This window comes from Homo sapiens, chromosome 6 (genome assembly GCF_000001405.40).
Source record: "Homo sapiens chromosome 6, GRCh38.p14 Primary Assembly".
Lineage (NCBI taxonomy): Eukaryota > Metazoa > Chordata > Mammalia > Primates > Hominidae > Homo > Homo sapiens.
In genome coordinates this window covers 138,793,695-138,820,108 of record NC_000006.12, presented here as the reverse complement: position 1 = coordinate 138,820,108, position 26,414 = coordinate 138,793,695, and the positions used below count along the sequence as shown (strand labels likewise).

The 26,414-nt window shown below is 41.6% G+C and overlaps 1 protein-coding gene across 8 annotated transcripts in view; it reads right to left on the bottom strand.

Moving 5' to 3' along the window:
* Positions 1 to 24,022, bottom strand: part of ECT2L (epithelial cell transforming 2 like) — a 107,984-nt gene extending 83,962 nt beyond the window's left edge. For 4 of the 8 annotated variants that reach the window (XM_006715472.4, NM_001077706.3, XM_017010829.2 and 1 more), the window contains exons 1-4: positions 23,917 to 24,022; positions 7,132 to 7,271; positions 6,769 to 6,937; positions 5,506 to 5,618 (exon numbers count right to left, since the gene is read on the bottom strand). In XM_006715472.4, coding sequence (XP_006715535.1) covers positions 5,506 to 5,618; positions 6,769 to 6,834 — 179 coding nt within the window. In that variant the 5' untranslated portion in view covers positions 6,835 to 6,937; positions 7,132 to 7,271; positions 23,917 to 24,022. Of the gene's footprint in view, positions 1 to 5,505; positions 5,619 to 6,768; positions 6,938 to 7,131; positions 7,272 to 11,737; positions 11,840 to 23,916 lie in introns of those variants that run through there. The other 4 variants (XM_017010828.2, XM_011535795.3, NM_001195037.2 and 1 more) reach the window with 4 other exon arrangements.
* Positions 24,023 to 26,414: the final 2,392 nt, after the last annotated feature.

The following is a 26,414-nucleotide window of genomic DNA, read 5'->3' as shown; positions in this document are numbered from 1 at the left end:
TGGAAATCAGGGTTTCTGTCAGGAAGAAGGAGAGGAATGTGGAATGGCTTGGCTGGGCCAGTAATCAACAGTGTCTAACCCGGTAAGCAGGAATTGAAGAAAGACAAGGGGAAAGATTTCTCCAGCCACCTTGAATTAAGTAATGAAAACTTGAATTATGCAAAGTATTAGTAATCTCCTATATTCTAACACTTGGTTTTTTGTTTTTTGTTTTTTTTTTGGTACATGAAGTCTTGCTCTGTAGCCCAGGCTGGAGTGCAATGGTGCGATCTCAGTTCACTGCAACCTCCACCTCCCAGGTTCAAGCGATTCTCCTGCCTCAGCCTCCCGAATAGCTGGGATTAGAGGTGCCCGCCACCACGCCCGGCTAATTTTTTTTTAATTAAAACTTGGAATATTTTGAAAAACTCCTTCCTCCTAGAGAGCTACCAAATGAAAATTTTTTTCTGATTATCTTTTTGTCATTTTTGGAATTAGGAGTGCTTTAGATATCTGAATTCATTCAACAAGCATTTATTGAGTGGCTGCTATGTGCCTGGTATGGCTCTAAGTGCTAGAGATGAAAAGAGTCACCAAAGTCTTTGCTATCATGGAGCCATCATTCTAATGGGGTAGGCAGACAGCAAATAAACAAGTCCTGCATGTCACATAGTGTCAGGTGGTGTCAAGCGGTAGACAGAGAAGCTCAACATGAGAAAGGAGGGGAGAGCAGCTCCACACACTCACAAAATGGGAGTGAGAACTTCAAGCCAGTGGATGTTGCCTAATATAGGCCAATAACCTTCCCTCCATCCACACAAAAAAAAAGAGCTTTGGCTTTCTGCTTTCTCCCTTCCTTTTAAAACGCAATGATTTCCTTTTTTTTTTTTTTTTTTTAAGCATCATCCACCTCTAAAAACCATCCCAATTGCAAATGCTAATATTTCATACAGTTATCCTTAACCAGCCCATGCAGGTAGAAGGGCAGGAACATGTGCAGAATACTGGGCAAAGGGGAAGGAAGTGAAGATGACTCAAATTTCCAGACTTGCCTTGGATATTTAGAAAACAGTCGTTTTAGATACAAGTGTACACTTTCACTTTGAATACTCCCCTCTCCTCTCTGACAAAGATTCTCTGCTTGACCAAACTTTAGTCAAGCTTCTGAAACTTCCCCTTGGCCCACCTGTGCACTTCCTTATAAAATTCTGCTTTAGTAAAGAGCCCTGTTAAGTCAGTTTAGGAAGAACCCCCCACCCCCGGATATCTTGTCAGGTTCCTCATCCTCCACCCTCCCCCAGGTGTTGTCTGAGCACCCTGGCCTGTCATCAGCGAGAGTCCTGTTGGGTCAGTGTATTCAGATCCCCGCTTACCCCTGATGTTTCCTCGAGTAATTTTCCATCCATTGAGCCCCATCCTGCTCCTTGGCTATCCGCCCATGCTGCATTTGAAGTTGAGCCCAATCTCTCTCCCGTGACCCCATGCAGCAGTCCCTGTAGCTATCTCCAAGGTTCTCAGTAACGTCCGCCTTACTGTCTTCAGCAAGTTTCATTCGATGTTTTCTTCTTTAACCTCTTTACCATCTCCACACAGAAATACTCTCCTTTTAAATGGACATTCAGTAACTGAGAGTGACATGGCTGCTCTATATTTAAAATTAACCTAGGAGTATGTTGTCTCTGAAAAACTGCACACCAGATTGCCTCACAGATCACAGCTGAGACAGACGTCCTCAAGTGAGCCCTCACAGGCTGCGTGGGAAGAATGGAAGAGGGGGTAATGAAGTGGGAGAGGGGGCTGTTCTCTCTTAATACACCTTGGTGGATATTTTTCTGCCCTCCAACCCCATTTCAAGTCTGCTCTGATGGAGACAAGTGACGAGAGTGAATCCTTCATGGGCTGTTTATGATCTCACACGCACACGCACATACACACCTGGGTCAATGCATTCCCCCTCTAGGGAATGCAGTTGCATGAATGCTGCCCCACCCATCCAGGAAAGCTGCAAGTTTGAGCAGCTCTGGCTCTGGAACCAAAGGCCTTTGTTTGAGGAATTACCAGGCACTAAGCAGAGGCAATTCAAAACCGGTTCCACCAGTGTGGCAAGGGGACTGATTCAAACTCCTCACGGGTTTCTCTGAGTGTAACAGACACAAGCAGCCCAGTTTCCTTTAAGGAGTCACAGGAAAGGTCAACCTAGTCAAGTGGTAGGGGAAAGACATCACTGGAAACCATTAGTCATGTGGACGACACGGGGCCATAACATACCAAGAAAAGCCACAATTGAGGTATAAAGTTGCTAGGCATGAAAGACCAGCAGAGAAGTCTTCCCAGGAGAAGGGACATTTTAGTTTGCCAGAGGGATGGTTTAAGAAGCTAAACCTTTAAAAAATGTCTTAAATATCATAAAATTCCACTTAGGAAATCATCTTAAAACTTACTAGGGAATACTTATTAGGCCAGGAAAGAAAACTCTAAGATATTTGAATATATCTCATAGAGATTATGAATAATTTTTTAAAAGAAAATTGTGTTGACAGTTTCCACCAATATTGCAATACCCTGTTTATAACTGACTGAATTAAAACAAAATTATTTGGAAATTATAAAACCATCTAAAACAATGGCCTCTCTACCTTGAAAGAAAGGTATTGCACAAATATAGCCTAGCTTACATATAAACATTTCAAGTATTCAAATAATACTAATTTCTTTCATTTATTAATTTATTTACAGTTATTGGGTAAGCAAGACTACAGGAATAAATGATCCAAAAGAAATGCTTAATAATTAAAAATTGATTGCACTACCATTGGACCCAGCAATTCCACTCCTATATGTATAGCTAAGAGAAATAAAACATCTCTATGCAAAACTTGGACACAGATGTTCATAGCAGCACTATTTATAATAATTATTTACAATAATCAACTGAGGAGTGGATAAATAAAATATGGCACATCCATACAATGGGATAATATTTGGCAATAAAGGAAAGAAGTACTGACATGTGTAACAAAATGGATGAACCTTGAGAACGTTATAATATGTGAAAGAAGCCAGTCACAAAAGACCACATACTGTCTAATTCCATTTATACGAAAAGTCCAGAATAGGCAAATTTATAGAGACAGAAAGCAGATTTGTGTTTGCCCAGATCTAGAGGGATGGAGATGAGAAGTTACTGTTAATGGGTAGGGGGGTTCTTTGTGGGATGATGAAATGGTCTAAACTTAACATGTGATGATGATCACACAACTCTGTGAATGTACCGGAACCACTGAATTGTACCCGTAAATGGGTGATTTTTATTGTATGTGAATTATATCTCAATAAAGATGTTTAGGCCGGGCGCGGCGGCTCATGCCTGTAATCCCAGCACTTTGGGAGGCCGAGGCAGGCAGATCATGAGATCAGGAGATCGAGACCATCCTGGCTAACACGGTGAAACCCCATCTCTACTAAAAATACAAAAAAAGTAGCTGGGCGTGGTGGTGGGCGCCTGTAGTCCCAGCTACTCAGGAGGCTGAGGCAGGAGAATGGCATGAACCCCGGGGGCAGAGCTTGCAGTGAGCTGAGATCGCGCCACTGCACTCCAGCCTGGGCGACAGAGCAAGACTCCATCTCAAAAAAAAAATGTTTAAAGGAAATTTATACTAACATTCATGAAACTATGAAATACAGTCTGCTCTCTGAAGAAATGCTGCTGCTATCCAAAAACAAACAAACAAACAAAAAAAAAAAGTACTTTCACTGAACAGGTTAGTTTTATATTCTTGTCTCACAGAAAAAAGAATTCAGTTACCGGACAAAGGATGCAATTTCCAGTGACAAAAAGTCAGGCCTGAGTTAAGCTGCTTCAAAATATACCATAAGATCTCTAATGACCTCCAGTGGTCACAACTAAAATTGCCTGGTTTATGATACGTGAGCCTAGAACATGATGCACAAAGTGGTTATAAATGTGAGGTCTGGTCTGTTATTTTCTTATCTTGAAAGCTGCAAAGTTGGAGTAAAAAGAAACATAGCCAATGACTATCATAAAATGTCTTCCCCCTGATTTTTCAACATTGACTGAAGGGCCTGTTTATCTGTGCCCTGTCTTTGCAGCCTCTTTCAACAGAGCCAGGAAGATGCCTGTCTCCTTCCAGTGACTCCATGGGGAGAGTCCGTTAACAATCTGCTTTGCACCCACAGATGCAGGAGTAGCTGACAGGTGAGGAGGAGAGAAAAAATGGCTGATCAAAAGAGACTGGCAGGAAAACATGTAAGAAAGAACAGGAAGCAAGTACTCCACCTAAAATATGCCAATTTGATCATGCACCACTCTCAGATATTTTTGCTGGGTATCTAAGACATCCGAAGGTTACCCTCTCCTGCAACCTCACCACCAAGTTCTAGTGAAAGTACCTAACATCAAATGATGCCATACCTAGAGTTTTTCTAAACAAACATTAGTAAATAAGCCCAAACAACTTCACACAGTCTCCTCTGTAGGACTGATGAAGTCCCAGCTCTTTCTCCTCTGGGCAAAAGATTCATTCAAAAGGACAATGTTTCAGAAATAGTATTCTATTATTTTTACCCTCATTGTTGGCCTCGGGCTACCAGAAATCCTCCAGACTAACATAAGGCTTTTTATCTGGCATTGAGGGCTGGAAAACCATCCTGCCACGTACCTGCTACCAGCCTGGCTGGATTCTTCAACCACACCCAGGCAAGCTGGAGGGCTCTCTAGAATATTTCGGTCAGTCCACACATATCTTGAATTTCACGAAAGAGAATCCGTTTCTAACATTCATCTGGCTGGTTAACAAGCCACGGGTTGTTTTGAGAATAATGTCTGATATTTGCTATGCTAATTAGTAAAGTATCTAATAACTCAGGTATTGTGACCTTCCAATCTAGAGCTGGCTAATGACCCCTAGGGTATTCATTCCTGACCAGAACAGGAGCTGACCCTGGGCATAACTTCAACTCACAGATGTCACACCATCTGTGCTGAGTGTTTTAAAGTAAATTACAGACATAACATGAGGGAAGGGGAAGAAAGAGAAAGAGAACCCTCTTCGTAATCCTTGACTAGGGCTGTATAAGTCTTGCCCATATTCCTAAATGTTTCAACCACTGTCACTTGTCATATATTTTGTAGATCCATCCATTCATTTAATGATTATGCCTACCTATGTCCCAGACATCCATTTGCAATATATTGTCTGTCTGATGGTTCCAAGGAAAATTTAATATGCTAAGAGAATGTTAAAAATTCACTGACTGAAGCCATTGTGTTTTTGCCAACATGAAACAGTCCCACCATAGTATGAAAGCATTAAATCCTCCCCACGGCTTCACTTCAGCCTCAAGGCAAAAGCAGGCACTGGAAAAGTCTGTTTATAAACCTTAAAATATCAATTACCTTGTTTTTTTTTCTCCCTAGGAACAAAAAATCTCTTAAAGGTTATATAAACATTTATATACGGTTTTCTTTAAGAATCAATGTTAATTACATCATTAGGCTACATTTACCTTAATTGTGATTTAGTGCATCTTAAAAAAATTGCGAATAAGAATTCTTGACGTTGCTTGTTAGTCCAGAGGTCAAACCAATGACTTATAAGAGCCACTCTTTCCTGAAAGAGCTATAAGGGGGAGGGGAGGAAGTGACATTTGCTGTACAGTTCATTGTTTTTAATTGCTAAGCAATCTTTAGACAATCTACCAGCAACCTCACAGCTAATATTTGCAGAGTGCATTACAGTTCACAGAGCGCTTTCACATATAGAGAGAAAGGTCTCTCCTTTCAGGTTAAACTTTTTACCCAGGGATACTGACAGGCCCAGGCTTGTTGGGTGGGTTGATGGGAAAGACTGGCAGTGATGTAATTATAGAGGGGCCCAAGAAGGGCCTCTGGAAAACAAAGAGGTAATGATTCCTGGATCTTGTTTCTACCTAGGCTAATGTGGCCTAGGGAAACAGAGTCCACACATTTCATTTTGAAAACATATACGGGCTACACTCATTTAATTGTGAAAACAGAACCATTTGAGGTAGGTATAACTTCACTAACTCACAACCCTGGATCTTTATAGCACCCACCAAGATGAAAGTAAGTATCGCTAAATAGCCAACAGAGACATGTCTCTAGGGAAGACATACATTAAGGACCAGAGTCCCCCAAACCTGCGTTTCGGTCCAGCTTTGCTCAGATAGAGATAACAAACTCACTGTTATTATCATAGGTCAGGCTTTAGTCCCAGCCTGGTCTAGTCTCCTTCTCTGGTGAATGAGGCTGAACTCACAAGAGCACCCAGTTTGCCTTCTCTATTGCCAGAGCCACCATAGGCCATTAAATGACGACTTCCTGAATTACCTTAAAATAGGAGAGGCATCCCCAGGCCACATGGAACCATCCAGTTGGCACAGGAGGGAAGAGAGGATTACAAATACAGAGGAACACAAGCATGAATACTCCCAGCCCCCACCACCAAAATCACCTTCTCACCTCCTTCCCTATCTACAGCAACTGTGTGTCCTAGAGGTCTCTATTTTGTTCCTGGAGGTACTGAGTGGAAGGGGAGGCCATCTGGAGCCTCCCTTAAGGTAGGAGATGAGAACTGGGGTGAGAAGAGACTGTCTTTGGGACAAAGCTAAGTTTATTTTTGTTTAAACTGAAAAGCTAAATTCTTTAGAGAGTTTTTCTTTAAAAATGTGGCAACATGAGACCCAATATATCACAGGAAAATTAACCTTACGAATTAAACTTGTTCTGTTTTAAAGTATGTAACTTACCTGTCTATTTAATGACTTGTTGCTAAAAGGTGTCCAGGCACTAAATCTGGTGTGGAAGCTCTCCATTTCTGGAGTTCTCCAGGAAGAATCCCCAGCTGACGTCTCAGCAAATTTTCTTCCACTTCTAGAAACTACAGGTTTATTTCAATAGGTGTGCAATTAAGATCACCTAGAAATAACCAATATGTTAATGTCCTTATAGGAATTATATAATTATAGAAATTCACATATAACATATAGATAGAATTATAATTCATGTGTGTACGTGTGTATATATAAAATTCATCTGTGTATATGATAAGCCATACAAATATACACAAAAATCCCATTAACTTCAAATCATTGCAATTATTCTATTCTTACCTGCTTTCACCCAAATCTGAATTTAAACAAAAGTTGTTTTTTACTTTGCTGGGAAAATGGGAAGCATTAAGAACGTTCCAGGAAATGCTACTTAGAAACTGCCGTGATTCATCAGCCAAGGAGGTTGACTTTTTCTTTACCTGGAAAATAAGAATTTGTTATTTTGTTTTTTTAAGATGGAGTCTCGCTCTGTTGTCCAGGCTGGAGTGCAGTGGAGCGATCTTGGCTCACTACAACCTCCGCCTCCCGGGTTCAATCCATTCTCCTGCCTCAGTCTCTGGAGTAGCTGGGATTACAGGTGCGCACCACCATGCCTGGCTAATTTTTGTATTTTTAATAGAGACAAGGTTTCACCATGTTGGCCAGGCTGGTCTCGAACTCACAGACCTCAAATGATCTGCCCGCCTCAGCCTCTCAAAGTGCTGGGATTACAGGCATGAGCCACTGCATCTGTCTGAAAGTAAGAATTTGAAGTACTAGAAGGTGACATTCCACCTGCCCATCTTTTCAGGACAGAGGTCAAAGAGAATATAAAGAAAAATAAAATAGGCTAATGTATTATTTATTGCTGCAAAGCAAATTACTCCAGCATTTTTCAGCTTAAAACAACAAACACTTATTTCAAAGCTTCTGTGGTTCAAGAATCCAGGCAGAGTTTAGGGGGGTACTGTCTTAGTCTAACTGGGCTGCCATAACAAACTACCACAGACTGGGTGACTTGCACAACAGAAACTTATTTTCTCACAGTTCTAGGGGCTATAATTCCAAGATTAAGATGTCAGTAGCATTGGTTTGAGGAGGCTTCTCTTCCTAGCTTGTAGGCAGCTGCCTTCTCACTGTGTCCTCACGTGGACTTTCTTCCATGTGCATGCAGAAACAGAGATCTCTGGTGTTTCTTCTTCTTTCTGCTTCTCCTTTTCCTTCTTTTGAGACAGTGTCTTGCTTCTGTTGTTCAGCCTGGAGTGCAGTGGTGCAATCATAGCTCACTGAGCCGGGTGCAGTGGTTCATGCCTGTAATCCCAGCACTTTGGGAGGCTGAGGTGGGTGGATCACTTGAGGCCAGGAGTTTGAGACCAGCCTGGCCAACATGATGAAACCCCGTCTCTACTAAAAATACAAAAATTGGCCGGGCATAGTGGCACACACCTGTAATCCCAGCTAATCCCAGCTACTTCGGAGGCTGAGGCAGGAGAATCGCTTGAACCGGGAGGCAGCGGTTGTAGTGAGCCATGATCGCGCCACTGCACTCCATCACTGACATCCATCACTGACAGCGAGAGTCCATCTCAAAAAAATAAATAAATAAAATAAAAATCATAGCTTGCTGTAACTTTAAACTTTTGGGCTCCAGGGTTCTTCCCATCTCAGCTTCCCTAAACACTGGGATTACAGATGCGAGCTGCACCTGGTCTCTTCTTATAAGGACACTAGTCCTCTCAGATTAAAGCCCCATGACCTTGTTTAACCTTTATTCCTTATAGGCACTATCTGCAAATACAATAATAATGGGGGTGAAGGCTTCAACATATAATTTGTGGGGAAAGGGGATACATCTCAGTTCATAACCAGTACCTCTGTGTCAAGGCTCTTATAAGGCTACAGTCAAGGTGTTTGCGGGGACTGCAGTCTCACTGAAGGCCCTGCAGCTCATTCATGTGGTTGTTGACAGGATTCCATTCCTCATGCTCTGTTGGACTGAAGACTGCAGTGCTCACCAGCTGTTGGCTGGAGGCCTCCCTTGCCTTCCTTGCTACATGGTTCTCTCCATAGGGCAGCTCCCATGGCAGCAGGCTTCCATCACAGTGAGCAAATGAGAAAGCAAGAGAGGGCACACCAGAGGGAAGCCACAGTCTCTTTGTAGCCTAACCTCAGAAGGGACATCCTATCACTTTTGCTATATACTGCTGGTTAAAAGCAAGTCACCAGGTCCATGCCACACTCAAGGGGAGAGGATTAGATGACAGCATGCATAGTAATACAACCTATCATAGTTTACCCTTTGGGACAGTTCCTTTCCTTTCCCATATGCAGAACACACTCACTCACACATTTTTAAGGAAAACAACCCCAAAGTTCCATCTCATCAATATTTTTAGCACAGAGCTCATGAGCTAAAAACGATTCACAAGGGTCTCTCTATAGATACAGGTATAGCTCCCTTTGATCCAAATACCTTTGAACTAAAAAGACAAGTTATCTGGTCCTTGCCTGTGTAAATAATATATATCATGGTGGAACAAGGAAAGGATAACTGCAATAGATAGTCCCATTCTTAAAGAAGGATGACATATAAAGGATTCATAGCAATCCTGAAATGCAGTTTCAGAAGGCTGGGGCGCAGTGATCATTTTGTCTCCAACAATCACATTCTCTTTTAGACCATGCCAGGGATTCCCTTGACAATGTCAACTTCTCAAAATATATCCCAAATTATATATTTGATTCTAAGCAGTGCTATTTGCCACAATTGTTTAGAGACATTTTTTTCTCTCTCTCTAAAGTTAACTGCAGATATTTTGAGCGTATCAGGCTTCCTTAGAAAAAGCCAAACCCTACGTCTTTCTTCCCTGAGATGTTTTTCCAACTCAAAGTATTTGCTGGGTACCACCTTGTTCCATTCGGAGATCCTAACAATGGTGTGACAACCATACTTTTGACTGGTCCTTGCCAGTAGACATAGTTTTCAGCATCATTTATTGCTCAAAGTCTTTCTCAGTTTTTTCTTTACTAGTTGAAGATGTGAGTCAGTTATTCCTTCCAACTGTGCAAATCCCTGAGTTTTGAGACTCTCTCTGAATTCTTTTATATTCCTGCTTACAAACCAGCCAAATATCTTCTGAGCTCCTCTATTTCTTCTAGTACTTTGGCAAACGTGGCCTGTAGTAATAAACTTATTCTAATAACATAACATTCATTTTCTACCTCTTTGCATAAAGTACGAGCTCATTAGGTATATAATATGCCCTTTAATCTATTCCAGGCTATAGTTTTACAACCTTTCCCACTGCATCACATAGATTGCCATCTTTTCAGGTCTTCCACAACAATTTCATGCTGTCAGACTGGATGGTAATGCCACATAATATAGAATGTGTTGCTGTTGTTATGGAAACATCCTACTCCTGGAACCGATTTCTGTATCTACTAAACGTTCAAGGAAGAAATAACACTACACTTACACAAAATCTTCCAGAGAATAGAAAAAGTGAGAATGATTCCCAAGTTCTTTTATAAAGTTGGTATAACCTTTATATAATCTTAACACCAAAACCCAAGGACTTTACAAGAAAGAAATATTACAAGCATATTACCATAAATATAGATGCATAAATCCTACCAAATATGAGAACACCAAACTCAGTAATATATAAAAAAGATCATATATCACCAGCAAGTTGGATTTATGTAAATTTTGACATTACAAAATCAATGTACTTCTCATTATGAACAAAAAAAAAGAGAAAATTATATGATAATCTCAGTATATACAAAAAGTTTCCTTTTTGTTTGTTTAGACAGGGTCTTGCTCTGTTGCCCAGGCTGGAGTGCAGTGGCTTGATCTTAGCTCATTGCAGCCTCAACCTCCCAGACTCATGCAAGCCTCCCACCTCAGCCTCAGCTGGGACCGTAGGCATGCACCACTGTGCCTCGGCCTCCCAAAGTGCTGGGATTACAGGTATGAGCCCCGCAGCTGGCCCAACAAGTGTTTTTGATAAACCTCAATACCCGTTCATGACAAAAAGATCTCAGCAAACCAGGACTAGAAGGGAATTTCCTAATCTGAATAAGGTGCAAATACAATAACCTATAGCAGACATGACACTAATGGTAAAATGATAAAACTTTCTCTCTGTTCACTACCACTATCTTTGTTTAACATTGTTCTGGAGGGTCTTTCCAACGTGATAAACCAATAAAATAAAATGTATAATAATTTAAAAGGAAAAAATAGGCCAGGCATGGTGGCTCACGCCTGTAATCCCAACACTTTGGGAGGCCAAGGCAGGTGGATCACTTGAGGCCAGGAGTTTGAGACCAGCCTGGCCAACATAGCAAAACTCCATCTGTACTAAAAATAGAAAAAGTAGCTGGGCATGGTGGTGCATGCCTGTAGTCCCAGCTAGTCGGGAAGCTGAGGCAAGAGAATTGCTTGAATTGGGGAGGCGGAGGTTGCAGCGAGTCGAGATTGCGCCACTGAACTCCAGCCTGAGTGACAAGGTGAGACACTGTCTCAAAAAAAAAAAAAAAGAAAAGAGAAAGGAAAAAATTAAATTGTCATTATGTATTATTAACATAATTGTATGTAGAAAAATATTAAAGAATCTACAGAGAAATTGACAGATTTAATACACAAGCTTGGCAAGTTTGCTGCACACTAGGCTTACGTACAGAAATCAATTGTTTTTCTGTATACTAATAACATTTAATAAGCAACAATATATCATTTATAACAGCATTTAAAAATCCAATATGGGCAGAGGCAGGAGGATTACTTGAGTCTGAGAGTTTGAGACTAGCCCGTGCAACATAGCAAGACCATGTGTCTACAAAATTTTTTAAAGAAAATTAGCCAGGAATGGTGGTGCATGCCTGTAGTCCCACCTACTCTGGAGGCTGAGGTAGGAGGATCACTTGAGTCCTGGAGGTTGAAGTTGCACTGAGCTGTTATCTTGTCCCTGCACTCCAGCCTGGGCAACCAAATGAGATCCTGTCTCCAAAACAAAAACAAAAACAAAAATAAAATCCAATATAAATCAAGGTGGGACAAGTATTCCACATAGAATACTAAAAATTTTATCCAGATAAAAATTTTAAAGACCTAAAGAAGAGTATACATCTGTGAAGATATTGATTCTTCTAATCTATTACTCAATACAGTCTCATGAAAACCCAGCAAGTATGGGGTGTGTGTGTGTGTGCATGGCTGTGTGTGTGTTTGACAAACTGATTATAAAATGTGTATGAAAATGCAAAGGGTCAAGACTAGCAAAGACAACTTTAAAAAGAACAAAGTGGTTGGACTTACTCTACTTGATATCAGGACTTACTTATTATAAAGCTAGTGTAAATAACAGCATGAGGTATTGGCACATGAACAAACAAATAAACCAGTGGAACACAGCAGTTATTCAGAAACAGACCCACATACATATGGACACTCTACCTATGACAAGGGTGGCACTGCAGAGCAGTGGGATAGGATGGCTCCAGTCAGTAACACATGGGGTAGAACAACTGCCCAGCTGGACCCAGCTCACCCTCAGAACCATGAGAAATAATAAATGATTATTATTTAAAGCCATTAAATTTTGGGATGGTTTGTTATCCAGCAATAACAAAAAAAATTGGTATCTGGAAGTAGATTATTGCCATAATTTAACTGAAAACCTATGATACTGGCTTTGGGACTGGGAAGCAAGTGGAAATTAAAAGGGTGTGGAGGAGACGGTGTAGTGGAGTCTAGAGAAAGGCTAGTGAGAAGATGACCGGCATTATGTAGCAGTGGAAAGTTAGTAACACTGTTACCTGCACTAATGTGGAGGATAGAAAATGTGTCAATGAATCTATAGACCTGGCTAAAGAAATTCTGAGTAGGATGTAGAAAGTGCTGATTGGCTCCTTTAGCTGTACAAGGTGAGAGATATGAATTAACCTAAAAGATCTGTTTAGTTTTGGGGCAAATTTTAGTGATAAAGAATATCTAGGCTGGGTGCAGTGGCTCATGCCTGTAATCCTAGCACTTTGGGAAGCTCAGACAGGTGAATTGCTTGAGCTCAGGAGTTTGAGACAAGCTTGGACAACATGGCAAAACCCTGTCTCCACAAAAAAATACAACCATTAGTGGAGTTAAAAAAAAAAAAATACCCCTGGGACAGCAAAACCAACCCTTCCTCTTTCTCTTCCTCCTCAGCCTACTCAACATGAAGATGATGAGGATAAAGACCTTTGTCATGATCCACTTCCACTTAATGAACAGTGAATATATTTTCTCTTCCTTATGATTTTCTTAATAACATTTTTTTCTCTAGTTTACTTTCTTGAGAGAATACAGTATATAATACACATAACATACATTAAATGTTAATCGGCTGTGTTATCATTAAGGCTTCCAGTCAACAATAGGCTATCAGTAGTTAAGTTTTGGGGAGGTCAAAAGCTATGCGTGGCCAGGTGCAGTGGCTCACGACTGTAATCCCAGCACTTTGGGAGGCCGAGGTGGGTGGATCACCTGAGGTCAGGAGTTTGAGACCAGCTTGGCCAACATGGCAAAACCCCGTCTCTACTAAAAATATAAAAATTAGCTGGGCGTGGTGGTGGGCACCTGTAATCCTAGCTACTCGAGAGACTGAGACAGGAGAATCGCTTGAACCTGGGAGGTGGAGGTGGCAGTGAGTTGAGATTTCACCACTGCACTCCAGCCTGGGGGACAGAGCGTGACTCCATCTCAAAAAAAAAAAAAAAAAAAGCGTGAATTTTCAGCTGCACAGGGGATTTGTGCCCCTAACTCCCACATTGGTCAAGGGTCAACTGTAAAAGAGTTTCAAAGAATCTTAAAGTCCTTGTCCCATAGCACCCCAATCCATAGCCCAAAGCAGAGAAGGACCTGTCTCAAAGAGACTTGTGGATATAGCTTTTGTCTAATAGAATAAATTACAATTACATATATACAAAGCCCACAAAATTGTTAAGAGGCTTGTTCTCATGAAAGCATGGCCAGCTTGAAGTAAGAAGGACCAAGAAATTTTGAAATAAAAAGTCTCTGAGCTACCATTTTAAGCTGGGTGTCTGGGGAAACAGATAATGTGTCTTTTGAGCTCACAGGTCTCCAGATTGAGAGGAGTTATGAACAAGGAGCCTCATTTGCAACTGGACCTGACGGAGATCACAAGAGACTGGGCTTCAAGCCTCATACCATAATTGGAAGACCCTTTGGTGGTGTCTTGGTATGAAATAAAGGTATTCTGTGTGCTGCAACTGTGACTTGTGGCCAGAGGGAGGGACACAGTATATTGTCTGTGCACATGGCCAGGAACAATTGCTCCCATCCCTGTACCCACATACCAGTTCTCCATCAAGAGGTGGAGTCTATTCTTCTCCCTCTCCTTGAATCAATCTGCACTACCACTGTCTTGTTTTAACCAATGATGTTGTGGAAGTGATGATGTGTGACTTCTGGGCATGGACCTTAAGAAGACTTATACCTTCTGTTTTTGAACTCTTGGAATCCAGCTGCCATGTAAATAAGCCTGGGCTGGGATACTGGATGACAAGAGACCATATGGAGAGAGTTTGAGCCAGCCCCCAGCTGTTTCAGCCACCCCCGTCAAAGCACCAGATGTGCAAATGAAGTCATCTTGGATATTTCAGTTGCAACTAAGCTCCCATGTGCAACCACATGAATCACCCCAGCCCCCTACATACAAAGAGAAGAACTGCCCAGCTGAGGCCAGCCAACCCATAGAATTGTGAAAAATAACACGTTTCCTATTTCAAGCTACTAAACTTTGGAATGGTTTGTTATCCAGAACAGACTGACAAAGCCATGTGTTGGTGAGCATCCAGAGCTCTCACACAGCTGGTGAAAGTGCAAATTGGTATATGTACTTTGAAAAACTATTTGGCGTTATTTCTAGAATAATGCCAAACTTGACCCAACTGGAAAAAATATACATGTGGACTAAAATATATCACCAAGAAGATGCACAGCTGCACTGGATAGCTCCAAACTGGAGACAACCCAAGCATCCACCAGTAGTCCAGTGGATAAATCTACTGTCATGCATTCACGCAATAGAATACTATACGTCAATGAAACGAACAGCCTGCTGCTACACAAAACAGTAAGGATGAATCACACAATATATTACACAGAGGAAGCTGCGAATAAAATAATACATGTGGCACGGGTTCATTTACCAAAGTTCTACCCTGTAGTGTTAGACGTCAAGATAAGGTTTACCTGTGGGGAGGAAAGAGAGGGTAATGATTGGGAGGGGACACAAGAGGTTATTCTGCATGCTGGTGCTGACGTAGAGAGGGAGCCCTAGACTTCCCTGCGTGCTGTGATTCATTGAACGTTACACTCATGATCTGCGTGTTTTTCTATGTCCTGTATTTCAATCAAGAAGTTTATAAAATGATATTTACAATAACATCAAGTACCACTAAGTACCTGGAAAAAATTAAGAGTGCCAACTTTATGAAGAAAATTATAAAACTTTATTGAAAAATACTTTTAAAGTCCTAAATAAATGGAGAGATATGTCTTATTCATGGATTAGGGGACTCAGTAGAGTGAAGAGATTAACTCCCTCAACTTGATCTACAGATTCAATGCAATCTCAGTAACAAATTCCAAGAAATATTGTGTGTGTGTGTGTGTGTGTGTGTGTGTTTAAAACTTCAAAGCTGATTCTAAAATATTTATGGAACTTTAAAGTGCCAAAACCAGTAGTCTTGATAAACAAGGAAGGGAGCTGTGTTTCTAGATACCAAGACTTACTATAAAGCTGTAGTAATAAGATAATAAAGGTATTAGTTTGGGGACAGACAACAAAACCTGTGGAACAGAAGAGAAACTCCAAAATAGACCCAGGTATACAGGGACACTTGTTAGATGACAAATCAGAAAGGGAAGGGTGGATTGTTTCATTTATAGAAAACGGAATATCTGTTTTATAAAAGAAAAGAAATTGGACCCCTTTCTCACACTATATACACACGCATCAACTATCTAAAATTTTTTCATATGTATAAAATCAATTACGCATGGTCTGTGAATCCCCAGAAGACAAAATTAGGAACAGTGGATGATGTCAGAGAGGAAGATTTTGGCTCAATCTAAGTGGGAAAAAAATCACTCCACAGCTCTCGCTGTCTCCAGAGATTATGTCCATTACTGGAGTTGGTAAAACTCAAGGTGGACAACCACTTGTCAGTGATTTTCTAGCTGGGATACAAGCATCACAAACATTTAAGTTTCTAAGCAACCCTCTGTTGCTATAAATTCCAAGAAGAGAGAGTACAACGTGGCTTGGTGTAGCTGAAGAAACTTTATTAAAGAGTCAGAATAATTCTAGAATAAGACAGACATTTGCAGTGCCTCTGCTCTTATTACACTTCAAGAGAAGAAGCACATTTTTTCAATGAATATATTAGAAAGGCATGTATCATATTAGGAACAATTTTAGAAATGTTACAGACGAGCAGCATGGCATAGTGAGCACCAGATTTGGATCTCTGCTTTGACTCCCCAAAATTGAGGCTTTACAAGTGATTTAGTATTTGGGCCTCAGTTTCCTCATGTGTAAAGCCAGACAGTAATGTGTCTTGGCAAACTATATTATAATAATGTGTTGTTCAGATAAAAACCTCTTGGCAATATGGGAAATTAAATACCTCCTTCTGAATCAACACTAAATGAAAACAAATTCTTAGTTTCTTAAGATGCCCAGCTGTTGTTATGTGAAATCCAAGAGCCAACATATGGGATTTTTATTTAGCAAGTTCGCAAAATTGTTATTATACTCTGTGTTAAGGGATTACTGAGTTATATAATGAGCTGAACATTACAGAAAGAATAGTCGCTGTCTCTGCTGGTGGGCTTAAATATGTGAGCATAGTATAGTATATTGTGTGTGTGTGTGTGTGTGTGTGTGTACATGCATATATGTACAAATTTGAACAGGATTATTTTCTTTTTCTCTTTCCTTTTTTTTTTTAGAGTTGGGATTTCACTGTGTTGTTCAGACTGGAGTGCTTTGGCACAATCATGGTTACTGCAGCCTCAAATTTCTGCCTCAAGTGATTCTCTGGCCTCAGCCTCCCGGGTAGCTGGGGCTACAGGCATAACCAACTGCTCCTGGCTCAGGGTTATTATCATTATTATTTTTTTTTTTTTGAGACAGTCTCTCTCTGTGTCGCCCAGGTTGGAGTGCAAGTGGTGCAATCTCGGCTCACTGCAATGTCTGCCTTCTGGGTTCAAGCGATTTTCCTGCCTCAGCTTCCTGAGTAGCTGGGATTACAGGTGCACACCACCATGCCTGGCTAATTTTTGTATTTTCAGTAGAGATGGGGTTTCACCATGTTGGCCAGGCTGTCTCGAACTCCTGGCCTCAAGTGATCCACCCACCTCGGCCTCCCAAAGTGCTGGGATTACAGGCATGAGCCACCTTGCACTGCCTGCCTCATATTATTTTGATTATGTGAAGATATTAATTTCGTTGACTATTCAACCCAGGGAGAAATGGCAGCCTGGCAATTACTACTTCTTTAATGGAATAATTTCTTTTCCTATTCTAGCTTTTTACATTCCTCCAAATAGTAGTTCCATAAGATATTAATGAGTATTTCCCCAGAAAACAGGATCTGTGATTAAATGATTGAGATATTAAACTTATTTCTTTTTTGTAGGATGTTTTGGATGTTTTAATATGCTTAATGTTCACAACGAATCTTCAAAAGGGGAAAATAATATCCAGCATTTTCCCTTGTTCATTGTTATATGGAGACTATCACAGTGTGTATTGATTATCTAATGGGGTTATCATACTGTTTATTTAATGCTGTGTAACAAATTGTCCCAAAACTCAGTGGCTTAAAATAACAAACACTTATTATCTCACAGTTTCTATGAGTGACAAGTGTAGACATAGCTTAGCTGGGTCCCCCAGCTTAGGGTCTCTCACCATTCAACTGTCAGCTGAGGATGCCACAGCTGGACTGGGGAAGAATTAACTTCCAAGCTCACATAACTGATTGTTGGAGGGATACAGTTCCTCCTAAACTGTTGGAATGAGAGACTCAGTTCTTCGCTGGTTGTTGGCCACAGGCTCCCCTCCCATGTGGGCCTCTCTATAGTTTAGCTCACAAAATGGCAACTCACTTCCACCCAAGTGAGTGAGCAAGAGAGCAAGAGCGGGCAGGCAAGATGGAAGCCGGAGCCCTTGTGTGGCGTAACCTCAGAAGTGACAAGTGACACACCATCACTTTTTGATTCATCAGAACCGGGGTTTAGCAAACACAGTCAGCAGGCCACATCTGGCCCACCACCAGATTTTATAAAGTAATTGGGATACAGACAATCTCATTTATGTATTATCTGTGGTTGCTTTTCTTTAATAAATTTCATTTATGAGTCTCCTGTTTTCCTACTGTTTCCATATTTACTCAGTATTTTTCTTCATCTACTTACTGGAGAATTTTTTTTCTTTTTTCTTTTTTGAGACAGAGTCTCGCTCTGTCACCCAGACTGGAGTGCAGTGGCATGATCTTGGCTCACTGCAACTTCCACCTCCCTGGTTCAAGCAATTCCCCTGCCTCAGCCTCCTGAGTAGCTGGGATTACAGGTGCATGCCACCATGCCTGGCTAATGTTTTTTGTATTTTCAGTAGAGACGGGGTTTCACCATGTTGGCCAGACTGGTCTCGGACTCCTGACCTCAGGCAATCTGCCCACTTCAGCCTCCCAAAGTGCTGGGATTACAGGTGTGGGCCACCGCACCTGGCCTCTGTGGTTGATTTTTTGGCTACAACAAAATTAAGTAATTGGGAGGAAGACCATATGGCTCAGAAAGCAAAAAATATTTATTATCTGGGCCTTTACTGAAAAAGTTTGTCAACTCCTGCATTATAGGTGTCTACCCACATCTAAGGGGAGTGGATTCACATAAGGCATATAGACCAGGAAGCTGAGGTCATTGGGAGCCATTTTAGAAGCTTCCTCCCACAATAGTGTCTGCCATAGGATAGGTATTTGGCAAGTATTTGCTGAATGAGTAAATGGATAATTGTTGTATAATTGCAGTTTAAACCATAATTGCTATGGTTTGAATGTGTCACCTCCAAATATCAGGTTTTGAACCTTAATGGCCAATGTAATGATAGTAAGAGGTTGGGCCTTTAAGAGATAGGTCATGAGGGCTCCTTCCCTTGTGAACTGGAATTCAGACCCTTACAAGGCTTCACACAGCATTCACCTCATTTACCCTTCCACCTTCTGCCATGTGAGGGCAGAGCATTCCTCCCCTGCGGAGAATGCAACAACAAGGCATCGTCTTGGAAGCAGAGAGCAGCCCTCACCAACCAACCAGACCTGTCAGCACCTTGACCTTGGATTTACCAACCTCCAGAACTGTGAGAAATACATTCCTATTCTTTATAAATTACCCAGTCTCAGGTATTTTATTATAGCAGCACAAACAGAGACATGCATCTGCCAATTTTCCAAATTCAGGGGCTAAAAAAGCAAGTTATTAGTAAGAAAAAAACAAATTCCTTCACTATTAGGATTTGACAACTGTGTCACAACTGTGACAACTTATCAACTCTGTGATCTTCTTACTAGCAATTTCCATCATTATGTTAAATGAGTCATATGGTAAAATAAGCTTAGAATTGAATTAAATGTAGATTTGACAGATTATTCTTTCATGACATCAGCAAATTAGAAAAAATGGAAGCATTTTAAGGGATTCATTTGAGATAAGAATTCATTCTGGGGCAAGAATATTTATTGTGCATTCTGGTTACAATACAGCAGTCACCAGTATCTTCTATATACCAAGAGAGGCTCAAAACCTTAGTGTATAAAACCAAACTCTCAACCATTTTCCATCCTTTCTGTGTGTCTTTTCTACAGAAGCTAAAATACTGTGCCATGAAGTTTTTCCTTGATCATTTAAGAATGATCTTGTTCTTCTACAAAGTGGCATGTCTCTACTGGAAAAAACATTGTGGCTGCCATCTCACAGCCCAGCTTTTTACTTTGAATTGAAACTCCAGTGTGGGTGATGTAAACTGGAGGCCCCTTTGTTATCTCGCTCTGAAAAGCAGGGGCCTAAATGCTTCTAAAGTCTGTTGCAAGAAAGGAATAAAATAGAAGACCCCAATCTGTGTCTCTCCTCATTTGCAACTGGATCCAACAAACATGCTAAGTAACAAGATCAAAATGGGGAGGGGGGCGTGTAATAAATGTTGTATTTAACATCTTAATTTTTGTTTGAGTGTCTACACTGACTGACACGGCACTAGAAAATCTCTTCCCCCATACACTGGCTCATTGAATCTTCAGATTCACCCTGGGAGTTAGATTATACAAGAGAAGAACATGGCAGAGAAAATCATCCAGTCGGCATGCAGTGGCTCACACTTGTAATCCAGGCATTTTGGGAGGCCAGAGTGGGTGGATTGTTTGAGCTCAGGAGTTCCAGATCAGCCTGGCCAATATGGCAAAGCCCCATCTGTACAAAAATTAGCCAGGTGTGGCGGCATTCACCTGTAGTCCTAGCTAGTTGGGAGGCTGGAATGGGAGGACTCCTTGAGCCCAGGAGGCGGAGGTTACAGTGAACCAAGGTCCAAGATTGTGCCACTGCTCTCCAGCCTGGGCGATACAGTGAGACCCTGACTCAAAAAAAAAGAAAAGAGGCCGGGCGCGGTGGCTCACGCCTGCAATCCCAGCACTTTGGGAGGCCAAGGCGGGCGGATCATGAGGTCAGGAGATCGAGACCATCCTGGCTAACACAGTGAAACCCCGTCTCTACTAAAAATGCAAAAAAAATAAGCCGGGCGTGGTGGCGGGTGCCTGTAGTCCCAGCTACTCCGGAGGCTGAGGCAGGAGAATGGCATGAACCCGGGAGGCGGAGCTTGCAGTGAGCCGAGATCGTGCCACTGCACTCCAGCCTGGGTGACAGAGCGAGACTCCGTCTCAAAAAAAAAAAAATCAGAAAATCATCCAAGGTTACACAGGTAGTAATTGCCTATCAAGTTTCAAAATTATACTAGATTTTTCCTGAAGGGTAAGTTTAATTTGAATTGGATATAAAAGGATATTAAAAGAAAAACTTCAGCCGAATTAAATTTACAGGAGTTTAATTGAGCAATGGACGATTCGTGAATCAGGCAGCTCCCAGAATCACAGCAGATTCAGAGAGACTCCCGGAGTGGCTTGTGGTCAGAACAAATTTATACACAAAAAAATGAAGTGATGTACAGAAATCAGAAATTAGGTACAGAAACAGCTGGATTGGTTACAGCTCAGCATTTGCCTTATTTGAACACAGTTTGAACACTCAGCAGTGTATGAGTGGTTGAAGTACGGCTCCTGGGATTGGCCAAGACTCAGCGATTATTACAGGCACATACTCCTAAGTTAGGTTTTCATTCTTGTCTACCTATTAAATTAGGTTGCAATTCACCCACAAGCATTCAAATATAAAAGTACAGAGTCCATCTTAGGCCATATTTAGTTTGCTTTAACAACTGCTACGGATGTATTTGGAAATACACTTCTATGTCGTGGCTGACTATCCTTTACAACTGGTATATTGATGAGGAACTCGGAAATTGACATTGGCACTTCCATGCTTAGTCAAAAGAAGGATGGGGCCTGTTGTGTGACAACCTGTGATATGGTAGAATAATAAGAAATATATATATTTGATCTTTGTCCCTGGTTCCTGACATACAGCTCCTAAAACTCTTGTAGATAGGGATGCTAGGAGAATCTTTTGTTCTAATATTTGGTTTTTGACCCCAGTTCCTGACACAGAGCTCCGAAATCCCTTGGAATTTCCTGGGTGATAGGAGCATCTTTTGTTCAGATGAAGTGAATCTTGGTGGACCCCTAGATAGCTTCAGGATGGGGGCTGGTTACCAGGGAAACCAACCATGTGATTATGCAGCTGGAACTTTCAGCTCCATCCTCTGACCTCTGGGGAAGAGAGAAGGGCTCAAGTTGAGTGATCACCAATGGCCAATGATGTCATCAATTGTGCCTATGAATGAATCCTCCATTAAAATCCCAAAGGACAAGATTCAGGGATCTTTGGGATAGCTGAACATGTGGAGGGGCTGAGAAGGCATGGAAGTTCCACACCCTTGCCCACATACCTTTCTCTGGGCCTCTCTTCTATCTGGCTATTCATCTGTCCTTTGTAATATCCTTTATAATAAATGGGCAAACATAAGTAAAGTGTTTCCTTGAATTCCGTGAGTCACTCTAGCAAATTAATCAAACCGGAGGAGGGGCTTGTGGGAATCCAGATTTGTAACTGGTTGGTTAATCATAAACAACATATAGTCACAACCTGGGACTTGTGATTGGCATTTGAAGTGGGGGGCAGTCTTTTGGGACTGAGCCCTGAACGTATGGGATCTGACACTAACTCCAGGTACACAGTGTCAGAACTGGGTTAAATTATAGGACGTAGAGTTGGTGGCCACTGGAGAATTGGTTGTCGGTGGGAAGAAATTCCCATACATTTTGGTGACAAGAGGTGAAGGGCTGTACTGAGTGTGTGAGAGTAAAGAGAAAAAAGTTTTTTGTTTTTTTTTTCCTCTCAGAACAACCAAAGCCAGATTAAAAGATGAAATGGCTGAACAATTGCCAGCCCATATAGAGAGCTAAATCCTCACTGGGATCACACAGAAGAGCAATGATGTCAATTAACTGTGTTTCCACAGGTTATCTGTTATACAGCTGGAGAAATGCAAGTTAGTCTGGTCCTTCTCCACTACAGTAGACAGAGTGGCTTAGAAATTAAAACACTGCTCCTCGGCAGAGGTATGTACCTACATGCGCGTACTTCTGCAATTCACACATGCAAATTGTGCAATGATTCCTTTATTTATCAAAAATTTACTTCCTTAAATATGCCTCCAAAAAGGTATCTGGTTCTAAAGATCGCACAAAAGAACGGGAGTAGAAGAAAAGTAAGTGTGATTGGTGAAAAAACAGAAATGAAAGACAATTCCAGTTGAGTTAAATGTCCCACATTTAGGGCATGTAAAACTACATGCCAGTATATAATTTTTATTAAGTACACACTAAGCAATGGATAATGAAAATAATGGCGTGTTTTGAGGAAACCTGGGCTATTGATCTTACAGGCGGTGATAGAAAATACCATACTTGTGCTGGTATTTTCAAATGGTGGATGTGCTCACTGATTTATAAGTTTAAAGCTATAAAACTAAAGCTGTAACAAACAAGATGCAACTGTTGCTATAAAACTTCCAAGTCCTTAACCCTTCTTCCTCCCACTGAAATAAGTGTTTGTAGAGCATGATTTTTGAGGTTTCTGTGGAGCACAAATGTCAGTTCCTGCAGAACAGACTTTAACAGGCTTGGATACAATTGCATGGGTTGCAGTGAACTTTAACACCAATGATGTCAGGATATTGTGTTCTGATACATATGCAAAGTTTATTAATAAGCACAGCATCGGTATTTTTAAATCGATATTTTAAAGTACCACTGTTTTATTTGTCCTGCTCATCAAATCTTAGCATATTAACTCTTAGAGCTATCCTTATAACCAAGACCTATATTCACAGTAGATTTTTTGTATTCCTCCCTCATTCCCCCAACCCAGCCCCCACCCTACTCCCTACATTTTTGGACCCCATAGGAGGAAAGAGGGAGAGAACTGTCAGAAGGAAGAAGGCAGTTGGTGTGAACCTATGAAAATCAGCGTTTTCCAAAGTGTTCAAGAACTTTACTTCGATCCCAAATCAGTTCTCTGGAGGAGGTAAGAGTTTACTTGGCATGGCCCGATGCAAACCCTACCCTACGCGTGGATTTTGTTTCTCCCCAGAGCCTCTTCAGAATCTTGGTTAATTCCAGAGCTGCTAAGGGACTCCAGGGTCGCGGAGGGAGGGCCCTGCGCCCCTCAGCGCTGCTTAGGGTCTTCCTGGGCGACTGCACTGGGAAACTAAGCCGGCCCAGGCGATGTGCCCCGGGCGGCCCCAAGAAAAAGACTAGCGGCTCAGAAGCCACGGGCTTTACCTCTAGGAAGTGGCTATGAGGCCCGGTACAGTGGCGGCTGTCTCCTCTTGGAACCGCGCAGTGAAAATCGAGTGCGCCAACTCGGGCCGCAGCTCCGGAGAGGGGTGGGGCAGGGACAGGGTCATCTCCATAGGGATCCAACAACACGGAGCCACCACCCCGCCCCACAGGCCCGCAGCCCCTCCCGCCGCCGCGCCCGGACGGCCAACCTGCATCTCCCCAGCTGCAGTGAGCAAAGCCGCCCGCGCCGTGCGAGCCACCGCCCTTCTCTTGAGGCCAGCTAGGCTCGGGTCCCGGCTCCTTTCCCTGCCTCCAGGGAGCTTGCGGTGGGAGAAAGCTTCCGTGGGGTCCCGTGGGTCGCGGCACGTCTCGGAAGCCCTGCGAGGTGCCCAGCAGAGGTGCCAGACCCAAGGCCGTGGGACCCCAAGAAGAGACTTGGACACTGAAGCCAACGTTTGCTTGATCTCAAACAAAGCCAGCGATGTTAATTAAGGCTGTGTGATGAGGAAAGTGGAGTTTCTTATTTTTTGTCACATTCATCTTCAGCAGATCCTCAGAAAATGTTAATATTTACTGCAGAATTACCAATTTCAGCATTATACAGGAGGTACAAAAACAAAACCAAAAAACCCTTCTTCATTAGTTTCAGGTCAAAATGTCTTTTAACTATTTATTGTGAAGCCTGTTTTTTTCTTTTGTATGTAATAGTTATGGCCATGAAAAGATGCTCACAGTACATTACTTACAAAAAGCAGCTTAGAAAACCAGCAGAATGGTACGATCTATTTTTTTTGCAACGTGTGTAAGAAATCTGGGAGTATGTACACAAATAGGTTAAATGGTTTGCTCTGGTAGTTTTAAAAATCATCTGTAATTCAATTTTTCCTACAACGAATAAGCAACATCTATGTAATAAACCATAAGTTTCATTCTAGTAAAGTTTCATATGAGAAATGTGATCTTGCTATGCTGCCTAGGCTGGAGTGCAGTGGCTATTCACAGGCCTGGTCATTGTGCACTATATTTTTATTTTTATTTCAAATATCTTTTTCTTTTTCATCTGTATGCCAGTAAAATCATCATTGTACACTATAGCCTAGAACTCCTGGGCTCAAGCAATCCTCCCGCCTCAGCCTCCAGAGTAGCTAAAAGTACTGGTGCCTGTCACCAAACCAGGCCTTAAATTTTATTCTAATCCAGGCACTGCATTTTTTCCTGTTTCCTTGAACATGTGTTTAAGGAGTGTGAAAGGATACAAATTAGATAAGCTAATATTTCGCTACCTGGGACCCATTTAGGGCCCTGTGACACAAAGGGCGAATGAACCAAGTGAATAAACAAGGTCAATCCACTGCTCTGTCACAACCCGCAGGAACCAGCTTTTTGCTTTACTCTATCTCAGGACCAATCCAAGAAAAACATGTCACATGACAAAGTGTCCTTTCGCCCTGTCAGACCCTAGAGTACGACTTTTTCCCCCTTAAATCCCTATTCTCACAACCCAAATGAAGTTTCCTCCATGATGCTGTAATTTTTAAAAGGGGTATTAAAAAGACCAATTTACTGATCAAAATACTTTGAATTCAGAAAGCCAAAAATTATTAAAATCAAGATTTGAAAAATATTCAGTAAGTCCCTCTCCTCCCCTCCCCCAATTAGGTGCTTATTTCTGTGGCCTGGAAACAAGGAGACAGAAGCATGAGCATCTTCTGCAACACAAAGGTAACTGAGTTATAAATAAGCAAAATGTGTTCTATCCATACCATGGCATATGATCAGCCAAAACAAGAAATGAAGTACATGCAATAACATGGATGAAGCTTCAATCCTTGAAAACATCATGCTAAGTAAACGAAACCAGTCACAAAAGGCCACGTATTGTATGATTCCATTTATATAAAATGTCTAGAATAGAAAATCCAGAGAGCTGGAAAGGAGGTTAGTGGCTGCCAAAGGCTGAGGGGATTAGGGGACAAGGAGTGACTGTTAATGGGATTCTTTTTAGTGTGATGAAAATGTTCTAGAATTAGATCACGGTGATGGGTATATAACTCTATGAATCTACTAACAATCACTGAATTGTACACTTTAAAGGGGTACATTTTATGACATAAATTATTGTTTCAATAAAGCTGTTTTTAAAGGGTGATGAAATTAATGTTTACTGAGCATTACTGGTATCAGCTATTGTGCTAGGCATCTCTCTTTTTTTTTTTTTTTTTGAGACAGAGTCTTGCTCTGTCGCCTAGGCTAGAGTGCAGTGGCACAATTTCGGCTCACTGCAACCTCTCTGCCTCCTGAGTTCAAGCAATTCCTGTGTCTCAGCCTCCCTGATAGTTGGGATTACAGGAGCCCGCCACCACGTCCGGCTAATTTGTGTGTATGTGTTTTTAGTGGAGATGGGGTTTCACCATGTTGGCCGGTCTGGGTATTGAACCCCTGACCTCAAGTGATCCACCTGCCTCAGCCTCCCAAAGTGCTGGGATTATAGGCGTGAG